Source organism: Homo sapiens, chromosome 13 (assembly GCF_000001405.40).
Source record: "Homo sapiens chromosome 13, GRCh38.p14 Primary Assembly".
NCBI lineage: Eukaryota > Metazoa > Chordata > Mammalia > Primates > Hominidae > Homo > Homo sapiens.
In genome coordinates this window covers 61,140,274-61,163,549 of record NC_000013.11, presented here as the reverse complement: position 1 = coordinate 61,163,549, position 23,276 = coordinate 61,140,274, and the positions used below count along the sequence as shown (strand labels likewise).

The 23,276-nt window shown below is 35.9% G+C and overlaps 1 annotated feature.

Annotated features, from left to right (window-relative positions):
- Positions 16,759 to 17,259: an enhancer, noted in NCBI's record as "H3K4me1 hESC enhancer chr13:61720425-61720925 (GRCh37/hg19 assembly coordinates)". NCBI's record gives its function as "activates a minimal SCP1, AML or CMV promoter by ChIP-STARR-seq in primed H9 embryonic stem cells {active_cell/tissue: H9 hESC(primed)}" and the evidence as "EXISTENCE:reporter gene assay evidence [ECO:0000049][PMID:30033119]".

The window sequence follows — 23,276 nt, the reverse complement described above, 5'->3', positions numbered from 1 at the left end:
ATGGGAACTATCTGTCAAAAGGTATGAAGAATTGCTAGAAGTCATTTTGTTTGTTAAAGGCCAATACAAAGTTGTAGGGCTTGGTAAATAAAATAGGCCCAGATATTGTATCAAATCACACATTACTTTATGCTTGTAAAAAAATAAATCAATATTTGTGAGAAAGTCTTATATTACTACCATCTTAAATGAATACTTATGTATAAGGGATATAAACAAGAGGCTTCACTTTTTCTCTACATTGAAGTTGGTCTTTTCTCCAATTTTGAGAGATATTTATGTTTAAAATGTGAATGTCTTTTTTTTTCTTCTTTTATTTATGTTGTAGGAGAAAACTTAGTAAATATCTTTAGATGATTCTTCAGAGTAATTCATTAGCATTTTCCTAGGTAGAAAAAGAGGGGCTGGAGGATTAGGACCAAACTCAGTCATCTCCACAATTGCTGTTACCACGTTCAAATCACTTGTGCACAGATCCACATTATCAGGCTTAGAAGGGTCAGAGGAATGGACAGAGTTTTGGTCATTTTGTTACCTTGTATAGATGTATCCACAGGCTCCAGAGCTCTGTGCTATTTGTGTGAGCTTCTCATTTTGTATGGAGGCATATTTCCTGGCCAGAGGTGACTAAATCACATATTGTCATCTTCAGTGAACTTGTGTTAGTCATTCACCACCCCTTTTCTCACTTGCCATTTATGTTACCAGAACAAGCATGCTTTGTAAGCCTCATCCAAATTCTGTTTTATTTTTGGATGTGCTTTAAAAAGAAAAATGCTTGGCTAAAGAGTCATTGGAGTGAGGATATATTTTAATCTTTATATGTGGAGAACTTCTCCATTGAACTCTCTAAGCTGTTCAGATGAGATCACTAACGTTTCCATATTAAGAAATTTTCCAAATAATCTAGCATTCTGAATCCAAAAATGGCTTAAAATAAATGTTTGCAAGGAAAATAGAGGTGAGATATATAAATGCTGGCTTAAATAAGACAAGGGAAAGCTTTTGTAAAAGAACACCTTGTCCTGAAAATTATAAGGTCTGACAATTCATTGTTTCATTTTATCTTTCATTGCTGCTAAGTGTTTCTGGTGTTTTCCGTCTCCAGCATTTTCCACTGACACTGGTGGTCATATGATAAAAAGATTGTTTTTGAGGACTTCAATATTGCCTGATGGATTATAGCCAACTCTAATGAATATGAGTTCCCAGAGTGATGAGCACAGTGTCGTGTGAAGATTATGGTGTCAGATGGCCTGGTTTTGATCTTGGTCTCTAGCACAAGCTAACTGCATGACCCAGGGCAACTTGCTTAATTGCTAACGTCATAACTAATAAAGTTACCTAAAGCATAGGGTGTTTTGAGGTTGAATGAGATAATGCCATGCTTTTCAACAGTAAACATTCAAATAACATTATTATTGATAAATCTTCAATTTTGCTCTTGCCTGCCTCTAATCTAGGCTTCCCACAGCAGCAGGTGTAACGTTTTAAAAATTAAAACAAATCATGTCACCAGTGTGCTCAAACTCTCCAGGAACCTTCTGTGCCTGTAGAATAAATGCCAAACCCCTTACAAAGACCTTAAAAGGCATGGTGATCTGACTCCAGACTGTCTCTCTGGCCCCATCTCCTAGGGCGTAGTGCTCCAGCCACACGGACCTTCTTGCCCCTCTAGCACACCAAGATCTTCTTGCCATAGGACTTTGCACTATCTCTTCCCTTTCCTTGGAGCACAGGATCTTTGCTGATTCACCCTTTACTTTCCTATAGGCCTCATCTCTAATATAAGAGAAATCTTTCTTAACCACCATATTGCCCGGATTCTTTTCTTCATAGAATTCAACACTATCCAAAATTATCTTCTTTCTCTCTTTTTCTATTTGTCTTTTGCCTCTCTCAGTAGGCTAAAAGGCTGACAGGTACATGGACATTTTCTATGATCCCTAGTGCCACAATATCACTTGATAAATATTTGCTTAATGACTGAATATTACAATTTGACTCAAAGGTGATGTAACTTATGATAATTTGGTCACAACTCACATCAGATTAAAAATTTTTATGGCAAGAGGAGGTGGTTTCCAGGCTAGAACACAATTGTTTTATTTTATTTAAATTTTATAATTTCTCTTTGTCAGGGTTATGCACACCAGGAGAGGGTATTAAAAAAACAAACAAATTATCATATAAGGCTCAAAAACCAAGTTCCAAGTCAAGAAACTATGTGAATATATGTAAAGGTTGTAAGAAGACAGAATTCTGATGAAGAAAAGCCTAGATATAGTGAAAAAGACCTGGTCTCTGAACTTTCCACCTTTTTATAATTACTATTTTCATCCAGAGAGACTCTCTCTCTCTTTTTCTCTCTCTCCTCAATTGTTTTTGCAGATCTGTTGATTAATCCTTTAGGTTCTTATAGTCTTGAACATCTTATCATTTACAACATTGGCATTAAACGGATGACACATTTAAAACTGGAAAACTTGAAGAATGATTAATAGGACACTGTTTTCTAAAGAAATATGAACAGGATGATTAGTTTCTATGCTGTAGCCCTTAACTGTGCTGAACTTTTACAACTCTTAAACCTTATGATGCAAAGACAGAGGGCTGTTGCCACAACCCAGAGAGTTAAATGCATTGGGGAAGGTAGCCAGACCACACCTGTGGCTTTAGGGGGATTCAGCCCACTGGTTACAACCTAGCAAGCAGGGTGCCAGGGAATAAACATCCTATCTCACTTCTTCCACTCTCCAAGCATCTATCCCTGGTGCCTCTAATTGGCCCAAAGGGGAAGTCCATATCAGTAATACACCCCACACTTTTCCCAACAGGGAAGCACCCAGTTTGGGAACAGTGGATTTGAAGGTACAGAAAGAAGACCTTCAGGACATCTTCTCCTCTATAGTTTGTGACTCATCTTTAACATATTTGAAATGATACCAAACTCTGACAAAACCTTTGCTATTTAAGCCCCTCTTGAATTACCCTTGTGCTCTGAATACTACACATTCAAGGTCGTGTGCTTCTCTAAACTTTCCATTCCTCACTCTCCAGGTTGTCATTGCCACTTCCTGATAGGTTTTGTTCTTTCTGCCAAAATATATGCTAACCTCAAACCAGAAAGAATAAATAAGCAAAAAGTGCAGTAAATCCTAAATGGCTTCTACTTTTTCTCTTTTTTCCCCAAACTCTTAAGGGAAGAAATCTATTGCCTCTCCTCCTATTTTCTTATTCTTATTCTCTTCTACACTTTGACAATTTAACATTTGCTCATTAAACTCTCACCCACTAAAATTAGTTTAAGTTCTGTTTAACTCTAAACAAATCATATGATCTTTCCTAATTTTTTCACCCTTTTTTCTCTGTCTCCAAAAGCACTGTAATCCTCTGCATTTTCTTCCACTCTTTCCCTCAGTATTTCCAACTATATTATATGCTTCAATTTTATTCTAACTCTGCATAGTTTTAGCTCTTCTCTCTTTCAAGTGTCCAGTGTATGGCATTACATGATTTCAAATACTTTTATTTACTATTTTACAAGTGAAAACTCTCTCCAATTCTATTAAATAGTTATGTCCTCCTTTATATATCTCAGTTTCACTATTCTTATAGTATCGTGGGAGAAAAACATATTTCACTATTCTCACTTATAAACCAATTGGTGGCCAAGTCCTATTGCATTTTTTATACTCTCTTTACTATCAATTTCCATCATCACCTTATCACCATCTTACCAAATTTAAGCTTTGACATTTTTGCTTGGATTGCTAATGCCAACTAATGTGTTTCCTTGACTCCAAAATCTTCCTGAACCAAACTATCTTTCTCAACACTGGTTAGAAACATCTTATAGCATCATAACCTTAGAAAGAAATTTCCCTAAAGAGAAATTTTCAATGGCACTTCCATTGCATTCTAAACCCTAATACACATAATGATTTCCCCAAGATCTTATAATTGTCCAGTCCATGTTTAATTTTTATGTATTTGACATAAACATTTACAAATAAAAAGTAATATTATAACAGCTAAAATGCAAATATTATTCAGAATTTTGTTAAGTCATTGAGAATGGAATGCAGTTCTCTAATGATTTCATTGTCAGGATTCATTTTCTGAATTTTTGCAAGGTATGTGTGGGAAGGAGGAAAGCACTTAAATCCACATAGATTTATGAAATTTTCAAGTTAAAATATTTTCACTATTGTCCGTAATTAATTTTATGCTCATTATCTTATCCCACATCTGTTTAAGGTAATGGCAAGATGTAACCTTCCAACTAAATTTAGCATTTTAACTGCAAAATTAGATCTTGCTCCTCTTCTATCATGAAAATGTTGACTGAAATAATAGGGAATAACTACAATTTTGATATAAGAACTACGTTCATAAGAGTCTAAAGAATCTAGGAATTCTCATGCAGAATTAATTGTGCGTCTAGAAAAGATTTTAAAATTATTTCAAAATGAGTATAACTACTTAAGAGTAATATTTAGTGGGAGGCTATAAAATAGCATTTGAAACTATGTTAAAAAAAGGGATCTTTGCAATGATAAATACGTGATTTTTATTATTAGAATGACATTTGAAATGCTTAACACTAATATGTGCTTATCATCACAAACAATATTTGAAGTTTCTAATGATGATTTAATGTTGCTACACTGATCTTATATCAAGAATTTGGCTAAAACCCATGTTCATTAGCATTTATAAATAATAAAATCCTTGAAGAATTAAACTTTTCACCTTCCATAATTGTATTTGAAATTGTTCTATGATTCAAAAATACATAGTAATTCAATACAGGATCATAATCTTAAATTATATTTTATAGAAATTATGAGATTAGAATAATGCCAATATACCTTGAACTAGTTGCCTTGTCATCTAGACATAACGAAGATTACCTTCAAAAATACAGTCCATTTAACATGAAGACATATAAAAGGAAGTACTTGTTAATCTAAAACAGTCATTTAGACATGAATGTCTGAAAGTACTTGGTGAAGACTGAAATATTTGGTGGAATAATTCCTAGAAAATTCATTTTTACCCTCTTGTTATTTGATTAACTGATCATACAGCCCATCATTAGAGCATGCTTAATTAGCTAATTAGACTAGTTAGAATGAAAGTCTAACCATGATCTTGATTTAAAACATTCAAAAAGCTTTTCATCTTCCAAAAAATACTAAATTAAAAATTTAGCCATGTTCAGCCCATGTAAAATAACAATGTCAACTGGCCAAAACCTATTGCCAAGTACGCATTTTTGCAGTTTCTGGAGTGTTAATAGTAGGTTTTAGTGTGCTATTAACTGTTACACTCAACAATAGGCATTCATCAGTATTCTGCTAACCTTTGAAGACTGAATTGCATAGGACTTACTGTGAACTTCAAGGTTAACCTGACCATCTAGTAACAGTGGTCAAATTTTAACAAGATGGTCTCTCCCATATAGCAATATGATAAATCAATTATAATAGAGCTTTAATTTTTTAGAACATTTTTTATTACTCATTTTCTTTCAGTCAATGAATGGTTAAGACAGGGAGATCAGACATTTTTCTAATTAAAAATAGAAAATAATTTAGAAGGAAGTTGATTGATTTACCAAAATGCATACAGATATATAGAAACAAAATACCAGAACCTAGGCTTCCTGATATCTTACGTTTTTTCCAGTGAGCAACAATGTGTGAAAAGGAGTAGGCACATTGTATCAAAGGTTATTTTATCACCATCATTATCTCCAGAGATTGTTCCACTGATAGGCTCGATACAACCCACATTTCTATTTCTGCTACCAAGAGATTTTCTAACCAATATTAGCTAGTTCATCTTCCCATTTTCTCTCTCTTTAAAATATCTAAACAGCATGGCCCTCACCTTTCTCTCTACCACTCCATCGATAGCATTTCAGCTGCATCACTTCACTGCAATAGACTCCATGCAAATTCTTTTGACTTTCTGGAATAGTGATTGTAGTAACTCCTATATGTCCATCTAGAACCTCGGAAATCCAGTTGCATTGGCTCACATAGGTAAAATGATTGCTGCTAATACTGCTTCAGAAATTGAGGGACAAAAAGCTCTAACTGCCTTCCTACTTTATATTATAATAAATATGTCTTCAAGAATACCAGTATGGCAAAGGTTAAAAACAGGTTGTTCATAAGCTCAATCTGAAGGATTCAGAATAATTTCATGGAATCTAATATTAGGAAGAATATTCAGAATCCACAGAAGTAGGAATGCTCTAGTCTGCCACTCCCTTTGTCTTTCTTTATAGTCCTGAGTCTTCACATTCTTTTTTCCTCTTTTTTCTAAGTGTTATCTACTTCACAGTTTTTCTGTAAACTCACTTCTCTACTTATATATCCAATTACACATGGCCAGCTGTGGCTTTCCTAAAATTATGATATTAGTTTTTGATCTTTAATGATTGTCTGACTTAGATATTTCCAGTTAAATGACTCTGTTTTTGTGTCTCAATTTTAATTTCTGGAAGAAAATCTGATTGGAACAGCTTGTGTTGAGTCAGTGCCTGGTTCCTGCACCCCCTTCAGCCATATCTAGAGTTGCATAACATTGTGATAAATAGTACTTCCTCTTTCAACTTGGAAAGAGGAGCCAATTGGCTCCTCTGAGGAAAAGGGTTTGGAATTGCCCATTAACTTCAGTATATTAGCTTTTGAAACTGGCAACTATAGTATATTAGCTTTTATAAGACTAAAATGCGGTTACTGAGGATCTACAGAAGCTGCAATTCTAATGAAATATTTTCAGCTTTGAATTTTCTGGAAAAAAAAGAATGCATTCATTAGCACTAAAAATAATCATACACATTGACCCAGTAATTCACTTCTAATAATTTGCATTAAGAAAAAAGGCAGGCCAGGAGCAATGGCTCACACCTGTAATCCCAGCACTTTGGGAGGCCAAGGCGGGCGGATCACGAGGTCAAGAGATCGAGACCATCCTGGCCAATATGGTGAAACCCCATCTCTACTAAAAATACAAAAATTAGCTGGGTGTGGTGGCATGCGCCTGTAGTCCCAGCTACTTGGGAGGCTGAGGCAGGAGTATCACTTGAACCCATGAGGCAGAGGTTGCACTGAGCCGAGATCGAGCCACTGCACTCCAGCCTGGCAACAGAGCAAGAGACTCCGACTCAAAAAAAAAAAAAAAGAAAAAGAAAAAGAAAGAAAAAAGGCAGAGTTGAGATGCAAGATTTTGCAACTAGATTATATTTACAATAATTAAAAGCTAGAAATAACTTAAAAGTGCAAGAACAGGAAAATTAAGAAATATTCTGACATATAGAATATGATGCAGATTCAAACAATAATGTAGATATGTATTTAGTGATAGATGAAATACCAAAAATATATTTATGATAAAAATGAAAGACAAATTTGTATATATACTGGGATATAAATGAATAAATAAGTTTAGTGCTCAGAACAATGCTAGACACATTTGATATTATCCCAGTTATGTTTATGAATATATGTGAATATACATCCCAACATGTGCATACATAGATACATATGAAAAGTTAGAAAAATTTTGTATACCTCCCAAATCACCAATCCCTTTGAAAAGCAAATTAATGAGACATTCCTTTAATTCAGACACTGTTCTGTTGCGTTTAGTATAGTAATCCTGTCAACCTTTCTTGCCCCAAACTCTATTTTAGCATAAGACAGCTTGGCAGTACTAGGAAGACTAGTTGTGATACCATGAATTCTGAGACATATAATTCCAGATGTTAATAAAGACACAGGAGGAGAAAGAAATCAGGTAACTGGAATATAAATATTATCTTCATGACTCTCATGTATTTTTAACAGAGTATCATTAATGGCAGTAGAAAGGGAAAAACCTAAATTTCCTTTCACATCTAGAAGTTTTCAAAATTTTTTTTGTTTTAAGATTTGTTGAAGTTTTTCTTTTCTGATCCATAATATATGCATGAACATTTTAGTATTAAAAACAATGTTTCTCCTCCCACCCAAGAAAAACTTTTGTGTAAAATTAAGTCTTAAGAAAGATGAATAGTGGCCAGGCAGACCACTTGAACCCAGGAGTTTGAGACCAGCCTGGGCAACATGTCAAAACCCCATCTTTAAAAAAAAAAAAAATACAAAAATTAGCTGAATATTATGGCCAGTATATGTAGTCTCAGCTACTCAGGAGGCTGAGGTGGGAGAATCACTGAGCCCAGAAGGTTGAGGCTGCAGTGAGCCATGATCATACCACTGTACTCTAGCCTGGGTGACAGAGCAAGACCTTCCTCCCCACCCCCCCAAAAAAGATGAATAGTGTTATATTGTTATATTTATCCTTCAGACTTAGTGCTTGGGACACTATCATGTGTCATCAATGGTAATAGCATATTCCTTTGAGGGCCACAGAATTTCATTATTTCAGATTCTATGAAAGCTGTTGAAAACAAAGTGTACTCCAAACTCCTGGTACAACAAAGAGAGTGTCTATTGACAGTTATAAGGGGTAAAGTCAATATCACAAAATTCTGTACTCCATCAAGTTTATCACATAAAATAAATAAAAGAAAATTATTTGAAATCATTCAAGGACAGAGAAAAGAATATGCTAGCTATCATTAATAAAATTTTGACTTGAAATTTTGTACCACATATAAATATAAGATGAAGCAAATGTATGAGCTTAAGAATGAGAAAGTATAACATAAACAACTATTAGTAAACACTAAAATCATCTATAATAAAAATACACATTGATTTTGAATTATAGTATAAAACAATTCAAATTCTTATATTTGTGTGTGTGTGTGTGTGTGTGTGTGTGTGTGTTTATTCAGTCCACACTTTGCATGGTGGTAGAAGACCATAAAAATGATCAATGATCACTTAGGCTGGAACCATGCAATGAAATGTTTATATTCAATGGGAAAATGAAATTGTTCTGTGACCTTATAATATTTTTGTCAAAACATTTAAAACACATACTATAAGTTATAAATACATAGGAAAATAAAACATAGTAAAACTAAGATTTACTTAATATACTGTAAGTTAAAATATTAGGAATCCTTAGAATTAAAGTATTTTATTTCTTTGTAAAAATTTATCACAGGTAGTTTGAACAGCTTTTGCTTTCGTGTCATGCAGGAACCATCTTTTGTATGCCTTAGTGAGTTGTCATAGTTCTACTTTTGGATCAGTGTATTAGTTTTCTATTACTGCAGTAACAAATTATCACAAGTGTAGTGGCTTAAATCAATACAAACTTATCTTACAGTTATGTATGTCAGAAGTCCGACATAGGTCTCACTAGGCATAAATAAGAGTATCAGTGGGACTGTTTTCCTTTCTGGGGGCTCTGCAGGACAATCCATTTCCTTGCATTTTACAGCTTCCAGAAGCCATTTCTTGGCTCACAGTCCCCTTCCTCCATCTTCTAAGACAACAACGTTGCATTTCTCTGACCATTCTTCTATAATCACATCTCCCTCTCGCTCCTATCTTCTGCCTTTCTCTTCCATTTTCTAATGACCGTTATAATTACATTGGGCCCACCTGAATAATCCAGGTTAATTTGTTTAAAGTCAGCAGATTAGGAAAATTAATTCCATCTGCAACCTTAATTCCGGTTTTCCATGCAACCGAATATATTCGGATTCAGGTATTAGGACATGAACATCTTTTGGAAGACCATTATTCTGCCAACCATAATCAACTTCCAACACTTTATCCCTTGTGTTTTGATGATGTGAAACATCACCAAAGTTTCTTTAATGTGAAATATCTTGCCAGGGTCACTTCATCTGTAACATCTTCCTTTTCATCACAACCACTTTCCTCATTTATGTCAAAAAGTTCACCTCCATTAAGTTCCTCTGGCTGCATAGCTCTAGTCTCTCCTTTACGGCCACTTTATAATCCTGTGTCTTTTGTTGCATAAGCTCTTGATGAGATTGCCTTCCACAAAAGATATTTCTCATCAATCATAAATATTTGATGATCATCATAACTATCTGCATTAAGTAATCCTTGGAATCAGGGGACAAATTTTACAGCAGTCATCTTAGTTATGCTAGGAGTTTTGTCAGACAGTTTAACACTAATCATTAATTTATGCCCACCTTTGAAACAATGAAACAAGCATTAACTGGCAGTAAATAATTACTATTTTCTGTCATGCAGTATATAACTTCCTCACTTTGGCCTGAACACTAGACAAACTAGTTTGTATAGTGTAATCTTTGCTTGTGATCTTTGTTTAAATATGGTTTGCAAACCAAATAGAAATAAATGCCCCATTTAGCCATAGCAATGTCCCTTTTTTGTGCAATTTCAACTAAAAAATGTTGAAGCAACTTTACCCTGTTTTTTATATCCATTGGACATTTTCAGTAGGATTCATAGATAGCTTTATGCAAGCCTAGGTCTTGCTCTATTATTAGCTTTCCTATTGCCATTTTAAAATCGTCCAATCACATCCAGCTTCACTTATAGCATTATCATTTTGGGTTTTTTGGTTTTGTTTTGTTTTGTTTTGTTTTTTTGCTTACTTTCATTTTTGTTACCCAATTCCCCCTTCAAATTACTCAATTTGGTAAAATGTAGAATGCATGTATCATATGGGTAAGGAGGCAACACAAATGCATGCTTTGCTGTGTGAGAATAAACTAAATAACAGATGAGCAATGTCTTAGTTCATTTTATGCTGCCATTACAGAATACCACAGATTATGCAACTTATAATGAATAGAAATTTAATGGCTGATAGTTCTGGAGGCTGGGAAGTTCAAGACTGACGAACCAGTCTTGGCAGGGGCCTTCTTACTGCATCATTCCATGGCAGAAGGCAGATGGACAAAGACTGAGTATGTGAGAGAGAATGAACAAGAGGGGGCCAAGCTAGTCCTTGTATAAGGAACACACTCTCATGATTACAAACACATTCCTGTGATAACAGCATTAATCCATTCATTAGGGTGATGTCCCCATAACACAAACACCTCCCATTAGACCCCATGTCCTAACACTGTCACATTGTGGATCAAGTTTTCAACACATAAACCTTGGAAACACATTAAAACCATAGCAAACAGTAATTAATAGACTTTGGAGTGATATGATTGGTCACTGATCATGATATGCATCTATTATTTGGATAGTTATCTATAGATTGAAAGGCTAGTAGTGAATTTGCACTTGATGCAATTACTCACAGTTAGCATAACATAGTAACTGAAATTTAAGCCATATGGTTTGATAATTGGTGTTATTTAACTAACTGTGGGAAATGAAATTTATGCATGTCATAACTGTCAAAGTGAGGACTTCCTATGTATGTGTGTATAACATAGAGATATATTCCTAAAATTGCAGATTATTTCAACAAACTCATAAGGTATTATTTCTCTTGACTCTGTCAATTTAAGAAATGTAGTTAAAATGCTTTTGAAAAGCATAGAGGCAAACACTAATGGAATTTAAAAAAATGCACTTTCTAATACATTTAATTTAAAAAAATACAGGACACACCACTCCCTCAGCACTTCTTGTTATGATACATCCTGACTTGGAAACTGATGATAAAAAAACAACAACAAAAGTAATAGGAGTCAGAAACTATATGGCTATAATATGGAAGGGGATTAAAAAATCTTATAGAATAATATATTAGTCCACTTCATGCTACTATATGTGAAAAAATCTTTATGAACGTTATTTTCTGGGAGAATACAAGCAGCCAAGAAACTTAATAAAAAGAATAATCAATGGAGATCTATAAGCAATGTCAAAAAAATACTTTCTGAACAAAACTTTAGTTTTTTTGTATTTACTCATATTTTATATCAAACATTCAGAAAATAATTAATTCCTGATATATTTGAACTTCTCCAGAATACAAAATGTTGGAAACAATTCTCAATAAGTCTTACACAATCTTGCGTGCCTCACCTTTTGAGGCATACAGAATTGTGAAAATTCTTAACATCTAACTTGCTTGATACTGTATTTTCAAAGATAGCAAGCAGCTTCAGAAAATAGAAACACTGTTTACCATTGGAGCAGGTTTATTCACTGTCCAATATAATGAAAAATACCTCTCTGTAGAAGAGATGTGCATATACTGTTTGCTAGCAGCCTCCTATACAAGATCAGGTTTTCTAAACTTAGGGTTTTTCTCTTCTCACACACACCACTGGGGTGTATATTGCATGGCAGTTCTCTTGTTGCCCTGTGGAAAGTGGGGCTCAAGGAAGCAGCACAACATTGTTACTCTGGCTAGTCCTATTGTTGCTGGTAACACATTGTCTTTTGTTTCCAACTCAAAGGTCTCCTGTCTTGTCCCAGTATCTCTCAAACCATGTTAAGCTAACTTGTTTAGCTTGCAGGGAAGGTAAAAATCTTGGAATCTTTGCAGTTCTTGAAGAAACAACATGGAAAACATCTCAATTCCTTGAATAAACCTAATACGTAAATCAGACAATGAAACTGTGAAAAGAAAATATCTACAAATTTATGTATAAAGGTGCATAAACCCCAAATAAAAATCAGCATACAGAACTCAGATCAATTTCATTCCTATTATTAAATAAAATGTTATATTTAAGTCATATGTATTCTGGAAATATAATGATACAACTAGAGTACAATTATATTTGGTGTATTCATACTAATCCAAAAATATTTACAAAATTTGGAATTATTTAAAATATTATGATAAAATATATAACACTTTAAAAATATGACTTAAGATAGATACCTGCACCCTAACATTAGAATATATGTTAAGTTAATTAGTAAATGAGTAAACAACTAAAGACAAAATTGTTGGAACATTTCCATTGAGGTCATGGACAAGATAAATATTATAATGCAAACTTCTATTATTCAAAATTATTAAGGCTTTTAAAGCAATAACCAAAGATGAGCTTTATGTATTGAAAAGAAGGAAATTTTTATATTATATTTAGATAATATTATTACATAATAAAGGAAGCAAAAAATATTCATTTAGATTTAAATCAAAATTTAAAATACCATTATAATAGATTTGGAACCAGAAATTAAATAAAGAGCTTTCTTACCTCCCTAAAGTGATTGAAAATGAAGGATGATCAGGATCCATATCAAGCCAGGTACTAAAACGTAAAATGTAGCTAAAACAAAATAATCAATGACCCTACAATGTATACACTACTTTGTATTTGAGTTGTCAATCACTCCTCAACTTTTTTCATTTTTTATTTTAATATAAACTGGTGCTTTTAGATACTATTTTGTTTTCTTATTTTTAGTTAATAATATTGATAGTTTAGGATATTTTCAAAAATCACAAAATATATAAAAAATGGAAATAGAAATAGAAATCAACCATAATTCCATTATATGAAGAAACATTTATTTTTTAGTTATTAAAAGAGAATATATGTTGATGATGAAAAATGAGAACCTGCAGATAAGCCAAAAGACAAAACGAATTTAAAATCTCTCATAAACACACCTCTTAGAGACAACTACAGTTAACACATTCATAAATTTATGTCCACACATTTTTCTATGCATATAGATTAAATGCCAATATTCTGCTTAACAACCTGAATTTTTCACTTAACTATACTTCATAAACATCTCCCAATACCAATGGATATTTATCTACAACATCATTTTTAACTGGATGAAAATTGTTCCTTTTATTAATGCACTATAATTTATTTAATGACTTTATATATATTAAGGATATCTCCTCCTCAATATTTTAATTTAATAAATAAGGCTATGGTGGATCTTTTTCAGACCCAGCTGGATGTATTATATGGGTTTTATAATCTAGGAACCAGGTTTCCAAACTTGTTTCAAGAACTAATAGTCATTGTGTTTCTGATCATTGCTTGTGTTACATTAGCCAATGTATCCTGTCAGGGACTTAATTAAATGCAGTTGCACAGCCATTGTTCCTTCAGAAAGTTCAACAATTCATCCTACAACAAAAGGAGCAGGAGAGACTAACTCTAGTCTAAGTAAAGACTGCATTCTCTAAAGGAACTCCTGATCAGCAAAATCTCAACAATGATGAAATTTCAGATGTCATGGATTAATGTGCTGTGGCCTAATGTTATCTGCCTGTGGACAAAAGAAGAGATTAAGAAAGATAAAAGTGGCCTCTGACATTTGGGAACTAGTCTGGTACTATAAACTAAGTCTTGGTTCTCTCCTGTTGAACATAAACAATGTTATAGAATATCAACATCAGAAAAGGCCACAGGTGACACATGACCATGATGGATCAAGAGCAAAACAAGGCCATTTGATGATCACGCTTGCACAGAGACAAAAACCTGATCATTGTGCAACCCACAAAAATGACCTCAATATTCCCCTCTCCTGCCTAATATGAGTGTGACTGTTTTCTCAACCAGTTACAGCTTTGACCTCATTCTAGCCTGCCCTTCTAGATAAGATTAGCATAACTCATCATAGAATTACTCCCACTTCCTGACAGCATCCAAGCCACAGCAAAGACCTACTTTCAGAAATCTTTTCTAAAACCATCCAAATCAGGATAATAAACCTAAATCCTATAATAAGTCCTTTCAATAGTTTCGCACTGAGATGCCCCATAGTTCCTGATGATGTGAGTTCTTCCTCATTACAATGAGTCACAGTCCCAAATTATTCAACCGCAGCCTGGTGGTCTTTGGTCGCAAAGCACCAACAGCTTTAAAACACTTAGAAGAATTTCTGGCACATGTTGAGTGCTTAATAAAAGTGAGCCATTATCATTATAGGAGGCACCGTGTCGTGCAGTAAAATCTACAGGTTTAGAAATTAGACCTCTACTCTACGCTTTAGCCAAATTCCAGATTTCTCTAGATATCAGTTTCTTTATCTAAAATGTGAGCTTTAGTCCAATCATTTACAACATTGTCCTGCAGACAAATTAGTATTATTAGATGAGGTAATTAGATGAAGTACTCATTTAATGTTGATTTCCCTCTCATATTTTCCCATTTATTCTACAAAATTTACACCCCATTTCTAAAACAGTAAGTGAATTCTCAACAGCACAGGCCATTTGTTTGCAGTTCTTGTATAGATGCCCACGGTAAGTAGAAACAAAGACCTCAGTAAATCCTTCACATAAGTGGGGATTATTTACACAGAACCAGTTCTCTTTCTTTTTTCCATACAAAGGCTGCTGTAAAGGCTTAAGCTGAGAGTAAGGGAATGAGAGAGCAAAATATAACTTTGCCTCTTGACCAAGGTACAAGTGACCAGGGCCAGGTAGAAATATTCTTAGAGACTGGGCAGCAACTTATACACAGCCCCTTTCACACTTATTTAATACGTGATTTAATGTCTTAAAAATTCAATTTACATACAATGTCAATAGCCACTTACTGCGTAACTAAAGCTACACTGGCATATAAAAACTCTTTAGTTGTCAATACACTAACCAAGAAAATTTGGCATGAAAAGAAAATAATATAACCTTTTTCCTTTTTTTCCAGAACAGGTCCAGTAAAGAAAAAGAAAAAGGAAAATAGAAAAAAGAGTTTGTATGGCACTTCAGTAAGAGGAGGGAAAAGGACAAGACTATAGGCCATACTCAAATCAAATACAAAAATAGAAATGTGCCTACTTAAACTGAAACTCGGTGAATATATACCATGAACAGCTCCTTTAGATTTATCTAAGCATATTATATTATTTATTGGTTTTTAAGAGACTGACAGTTGTCTCTGTGAAACAGACGACACACCTTAGATGAAAGGGCTAATGCAAAGAGGAATTAGAGTGGAAAAAATTTTGTCCAATAGAAGTCAACTTTCAGTATGTTAGAATACATCTTCGAATAAATCTAATCAGTTTATTTTTCCTTCTGTTATTTAATAGAAATTTAACCTCATAATTTAAATGACTGCAACTTCTGTTGAAAGTAATAGACTGAAATATTAGCTTGGGAAACTTACTAACTGGTAATAATTAGAAAATTGTTCAGGAAATATGAAATAAATATAAATATAATTTAGGAGCAATTCCATTGGAATGTATTGGTATGTTTTATCCATCTGTCATTTTGTGATTTCTTGAATCTTTTTTAGTACTTACATTCTAATACTCCTAAATGTATATTCAATATATAGGCATATAAAGGTATATTCCAACATTAACCATCTTATACAATATACTCACATTAATTTAAAACATCATTTATTTAAAAAATTTAAAATGTAGATTTTGCATTCTTTCTTATACTTGTTCATAATTATTACATTATTGTCTTTTAAAAAGTTGGTAATTGAGTTTACAGTCACTCACTGTTCTATTTACCAGTTTTCCTAAACATATGCTCATGCCTTGAGCATGACAGATGCTCATTTCCTGTTTGTTTTACCACATATGACTAGATTTTAATTATAAATACTGGTAAAACTCTGGTGTTAGTTATTAGTGATTAGTTTGTGATTCTGGATGTAGTTGGTTTGGGGGAGCTGTAAATAGCAAGTCTTTAAAAAGGTTTCTGAGGTGTATTTAAAAGAGAAAAAATGATTAATCATCTGATGTATATTAATAAATCACAGTTACCAGACCAGGTGTGCAAGAAGCCAAGCATTCTATATTTTGTGCAATTATATTAATTGACTTTGTGACTCCATTCCATCAATCTAGCAGGAAATAAAAATAACCAGCATTTCCTGGTGTTTTTTCTTCCTTCTTCTAGGGTTGAGCAGGAAACTGCTCAGGAAGTCTAGGCGTGATCAAGACTCTCATAAAAATCTCCTCTGTTTGACTAAACTTTAGATAGAATTCTTCCTGGCCTCTCTTTTCTTAGAGAATTTACTTTAGAAAACTCTCTAATTGTAACTTCTTTCTCTGCCCCTTTGAGATGTACATTTTTTAAAGCCTCTTGCCAATTTTACAATCCAGGAATGTCTTTCTCAAGGTCCTGGGAGCTATCCTTTTTAAATTAACAAAGATAGCACCTCTGTCTTCCAATCTCTGTGAGATGATGTCGTGAGATGCTTAGGGTGCCACTTTGGCAGCTGGAAACCTCTGTGGCCAGTGGCACCTTTGCTTGAGTTTTGCTTGGGCCTGCTGGGCTTGTTCCACCCACTCAACCTTGCAGACTGTGTTCGGCTCATGCTGCTAGCCCAGATTCCATGCCTGCCAAGGCTGAGCCATGTGCAGAGTGGTGAGGGATGAGCAAACATGGGTTCCAGTCACTGCACACAACAAGGCACGCTGGCTGCAGTGGGGCAGGCAGTTCCAGGTGCAGGCATGGGTGCCAGCTCCCTGTGAGGCTGTGGCTAAACCAGGCATATTGCAAGCGGCTTCCACTGTGGGCACTAGGTAACATGGTGGTGGCTGGAAGCTTGGAGATGCCAGAAACCACAGAGCCCCAAGGAGGGTGTCACAGCCTTGGCTTAGGAAGCTCCTGGGTCTGGGCCCCACAAAAGGCTGCAGCTCTTCTTTTCTCTCCTATTCTTCTCATGCTCACAACATGGTGAGCAAGGAGGTTGTGTTTCAGCCTTGTTTGTGTTACAGCCCTTTAAGTCCTGCCATTTGGTGGGTCCTGAGTTCCTGTCCCACGTCTGGGAAGAATGAAGTATGCAGACAACTGGAGGGTGAGCAAGGTGAAGTGCTTTACTGAGCGACAGTAGAGCTCTCAGGAGACCCGAAATGGGTAGCTCCTCTCTGCAGGCAGGTTGTCCTGTAATCCGTGCAGCCATCAGTGGAGAGGGGACCCAGAGTGGGTAGCTCCTATTCTCATGCAGGTCATCCCAATGAATGTACAGCTATTAATAGAGAGGAGACCCATAGTGGGTAGTTCTCTCCACAGGTACGTCATCCCATTGTCTGCCCAAGTCTGGCTGAGTCTGAGGTTTTTATGGGCTTCAGATGGAAGGAAGTGCATGCTGATTAGTCCATGGGTGGCCATGGGCAGGCTAGAAAAAGCACCATAAGTTCTCACTCTGATCCACTGAAGTGACAGCCTGGCCCCCAGCCTTCAGGCCATCCCTGGCTTGAAGGTGGGATTTCACCCGGGACCCACCTCTTTCTGCCCAGGAGCCTGTATGTCTCCTGATGGCATTCATGGGGCCCAGGCTGCTCATGCTGAGGGGTGCCTGAAGTCCTACACCAAGCTGCCCTCAGCACCCCCTCAGCCTCCCTCCCATGCCTGTCAGTGGCCAAAGTCTGGAGGGGCCTGAGGCAGCAGGAGGCTGGCATGTCAGTACTACCCTGAGTATGCACACCCAGCCAAGTCATGACAGCACCTGAGCTCAGCCACAATTTTGCTCTGAAATCAAAGTGGGCACTGGGAATGGGGAGAGGCCAGGCAGTGGGAGCAGGCACTTCTGAGCCTGCTGAGGCAAGGGAGCTTCCTGGGCCCCTGAGAGCACAAGGATGGCTGGGTCCACAGCCACAGCTGGGCAGCTGCAGCTGTGCCTGGGAGCACAGGGCTTCCTTTTGACCAACTCAGAAAGGGACAGGACTCCCTCCTGTTCCTGGCTCCCACTGGCTCCATGGAGTGCACAGCCCCAGCTGCACCTCCCCAACTGCAACCTGTGTCTTTGCAGCAGCCGCTCCAGATGGGCTGCCACTGCAATCAATGATACTAGCCTAACTATTGGGTGCCACTTAGCAAGCACAGATGGCCTAATCACAGGGAAAAACATTTGCAAACTCCAGAATAACTCAATGTGCTCAACACATCCCATTGATCAATCTCAACCCCTACCATCCTGCAGTACTTGTCCACTAACTCACCCCAGTGCTTAAAAACTCTTCCACCCTTTATTCCTACAGATAATCAGACACCACAATTTCCATTCATCCTTGAAAATTGCTCTATCATCCTTGCTCAAGAGTTCACCTGCACATGGCTAAATTATTTTGAGATTCTCCTCACTAGAATGCCCTTGCATCAGATCTGCAAGCAATAGAAGCCAAGTCTTATTAGCTTACACAAAAATGGCATTTGTTGAAAGGGTAGCTCAAAATATCACTGGGATAGTCCCAAACTGTGTTTGAAGCCAAGAGCTGAAGCGTAGTGTTGCAGAATTGCTGACATTCTTGCCTCTGTTAGGCACAACACTGCTCCTTGCCTGGCCAAGTCCACCAAACCTGATCCTGGCATTTCTCTACCTCTGCTTTCTCTAGAAACAAGATGTAGCCACTGCTGTTGCTGCTGCTGATGCTGCCCATCTCCAGACTGAGTGCAGAGTATTCTTTTTCATGGTACCCTTGCTAGGACATGTGCACATTCTCTCACTGCAGAGAACACTGGAACAATGAGTCTTTTTATATTCCATAGTGAGAATTGAGCTCTGCTACATAAGCTGCAAAATTCTAAAATTATTAGAAAGTGTGTTAGATGCTGAGCTCTAAAATAATGAAAAAAAATTTACGTAAGTTGCCTCTCCTCTCAATCTTACATAAAAATCCAATATTGCTTACATTATCTTGTCAAGACCTTGCTTTCAAAAATCAACTGGTTCTCAGTAACTGAGCAACACTGATATTCTAAAGTGGCATGTATGATCTTCCATTATTAAAGCACATTGTAACTATGCAATCTCCCTTCCTCTGTGCTTAATGTAAATCCCAGCTTCTTACTATCCCTAGAATGCAAATTTCAAGGTCAATCTTTTACACATGTTCTATCCTAGGCCTGGAATGCCCTTTCCTTAATTTTTCTATGCAAATCAGGGATGGTAAACATATATCAACTCTAGTGACATCTGTAATGAAAGGTAGGGTCTTGCAATAGTATAATGAGAATGATTAATACTGCTTTGGGTTCTGTGGGAACAAGACTAATTTGTGATGTTTCTTATGGATGAAGGAAATGAAAGTGACTCCCTCATGCAAAATCTCTGTCTTCCCTGGTCCAAATATACTCAACTTTCAAAACTCTATTCAAGTATAACTTTTCCATAAAGCCTTTTCCACCTGTTATACCTCACTATCATCAATCTATGTTAACAACTTAGCACTTGTTTTTCATACTTATTTTGGCACTTTTCTGTCTCTTTTCACAGTATCATGAGCATATTATATCTGCTTGTGTCAGGTTCTCCAGATAAGTTCCTAAAGGTGGGGTGTATTAGTCTGTTCTCACACTGCTATAAGGACATACCTGAGACTGGGTAATTTATAAATAAAGGAAAGAGGTTTAATGGACTCACAGTTCCATATGGCTGGGGAGGCTTCACAATCATGGCAGAAGGTGAAGGAAGAGCAAAGGAACATCTTACATGGTGGCAGGCAAGAGAACAAGTGCAGGGGAACTGTCTTTTATAAAACCATCAGATCTCATGAGACTTATTCAGCATCACAAGAACAGCACAGGCAAAACCCATTCCCATGACTCAATTACCTCCCACTGGGTTCCTCACATGACATGTGGGGATTATGGGAGCTACAATTCAAGAAGAGATTTGGGCAGAGACACAGCCAAACCATATCATAGGGATTATAATTTTTCCTTCTTTTCCATGTCAGCACATTATTCTGTACTCTGTCCTCTGCAGATAGTCAAAAGGCTTATTTATGGAAGGAGCAAACACCATTGGAAACTTACTTCAGATTTTGTCTTCCTGTTTAAAACGTGGGGCTCTCTTATTCTCCACAGTGACTTCTATAAAATTTTATGCTGTTCTTGCTGTGCAAGCCTGGCTTCTCAAGTTCCTAACACATCACTGACAATGATGCTAGTAGATAAATTGGCTCAGAATCTTGAATGGATTCCCTAAGGTTCCTTGGAGCCCAGCAGCTGCTACAAATGTGTTGCACTTGATTCTCTTGGCAAGTCTCATTATGTTCCCCTGAGTCACCTGTTCTCACACTGCTTTGGCAAATTCACCTGTTGTGACATATGTTCTCTGTTTTCAGCCAAGCAGTGATTCAGCAAATACCTTAATCAGACATTTCATCTTCTAAGGCTTTACATGCATTTTCTCTTCTTTTGTTGTATGATTGCATGCAGTTCTTCTCATTATTCCTGTGTGCTAAAGAAAATACTGTCTCAGGTCCTAAAAGAGAATCCTCTCTAAAGAGCCTGGTGTGAGAAAACTATGATGACATTTTTTGAGTGTTTAGGTTTTGAATTTTGAGGATGTGAGTATGTGTACATACTAGTTCTTGATGGCTCCGAGAAAATTGGCAGAAAAGTGTGTGTATATGTATGTATATGTGTATATATATACACAGACACATACATACATACACATACACTATATTTAAATTTTCTATAAAACATCATTAATTTTGAAGAAAGTCAAAATTGTTTCCATCATTAACTTTAACTTGTGATAAAGTAAAATAAACAATCTATTAAAGTAGAAAGCTATTCAGTTGTCTCGCAATTTTTTTCAAATAACAAGTGTTTCACTCACATCTAATGTTTATTCATTTTGTGATATTAAATTCCAAGCTTGCTGGACATCTTCAATACCACAGATCTTCTTTCAAGTGCTTAAACTAGCAGTCAATTTGCAATCTACCTTTTCGCTATTATCACTACCCCGAAAATGCATGCCCTGAATCCCTGCCACATTTCATTCTTCACCATCCAGGACACTATCTTCTCTTTACAGAATCTCCAAATCTGCTCTTATTATTTCTTCATCCTAAAATACCTCCCTAAACCTCCTTTTTTGCCAGACAATTGTATGCTAAGCCACCAAAAACCAGTTCATCTGCCTCCTCTTCTGTATAGCTCTCCTCAGATTCCCAAGGCTGACTAAAAATGATCCACCCTTTAACTTCCCATAGAATACTTACCTACTAAAATGAACTGGATCTCATAGTTGTTACATTATCTGTCACTAAGAACCTCCATGGCTGGAAATTGTGAGCCATGAATAGTACATGACACATATGATGCACTCAGTAAGTATTGGGAAAAAATGGTTGTGAATTTGCTGTCATTTTTGTTAGGTTTTCATTGTTCTTAAAAAAAATCTTGAGATGGAGATTTTTACTTTCAGCATTATGGTGGATTATATTTTTTCAATGACTCTCATTGAAAATAATTCAATATGCTGGATAAAATATAAAAAGCATAATTTTAAATCCATTACTAGATTGGCAAAATAATCAGAAATACAAAAAGCCCAAAAGCAAAGCCAACAGAGAAACCTGGTGATTTTGAGTTTCCTTTTTAATGTCTGCAGAGTGTACCGTGTGTCAGACATGAAGCCAAGGGTTAACCCAAGTTTGAGTCTGCTATGAGCCCACTGCATAATGCTGGAAACTCAAAGCAGTACACACTGAATGTAAGGGTGCGCTTGAATAAATCTACTACACAGGAGGGAAGGCCAGCAAGGAAAGGGACTTTTCCTTTTGTTTTCTACCTCATTACTGGTTAGGGAAGAAAAAATACTATCTCCCCACATTTCTAACCATATTTTAGCCCTCATTCAAATTTGTGCATCCAAATCATACCATTTGCATGGTTCAAAAATCCTCAAAGAAAATCCTTAGTACAAAGTGACTATTGGTTAGTGGCACTTCAAGGTAGCTGGCAGAAGAAAACACAAATCCTTTCTGGTTCAACTTAAGAATCATTACTGAAAAAAATTTCTATGAACATACAAATTGTAGCACAAAATTACAAGCTATACAAATAATGCACTGTAAAATTTAAAGAAACGACAAAAAAATTGGACATATAAGACTTTTAGATATTAAATTGATCTGAAATTGAATATATAATAAATATATTAACAGGCTGGGTGTGGTGGCTCATACCTGTAATCCCAGCACTTTGGGAAGCTGAGCCAGGTTGATCACTGGAGGTCAGGAATTTGAGACCAGCCTGGCCAACATGGTGAAACCCTATCTCAACTGAAAATACAAAAAATTAGCTGAGCATGGTGCTGCGTGCCTGTAATTCCAGCTACTCAGGAGGCTGAGGCACAAGAATCACTTGAACCCCGGAGGCAGATGTTGCAGTGAGCCCGTGCCACTGCATTCCAGCCTGGGTAATGGAGTGAGACTCTGTCTCAAAATAAATAAATAAGTAAATAAAAATATATAAATTATTGTATACATATTAATTAACATGTTTAAATAAATGAAGAGACTTGAAAATATCAAGGAATGAAATATTTTTAAATAGCCAAAAAAATTTGAAAAGAAGCAAATATACCTTCTATAGTGTTATTTCAACTAAAAATTGAAATTAATTTTATGAATGGATTAAAGAGCAGATTAGAAATAGCTAAGGATACAATTAGAGAAATTATAGAT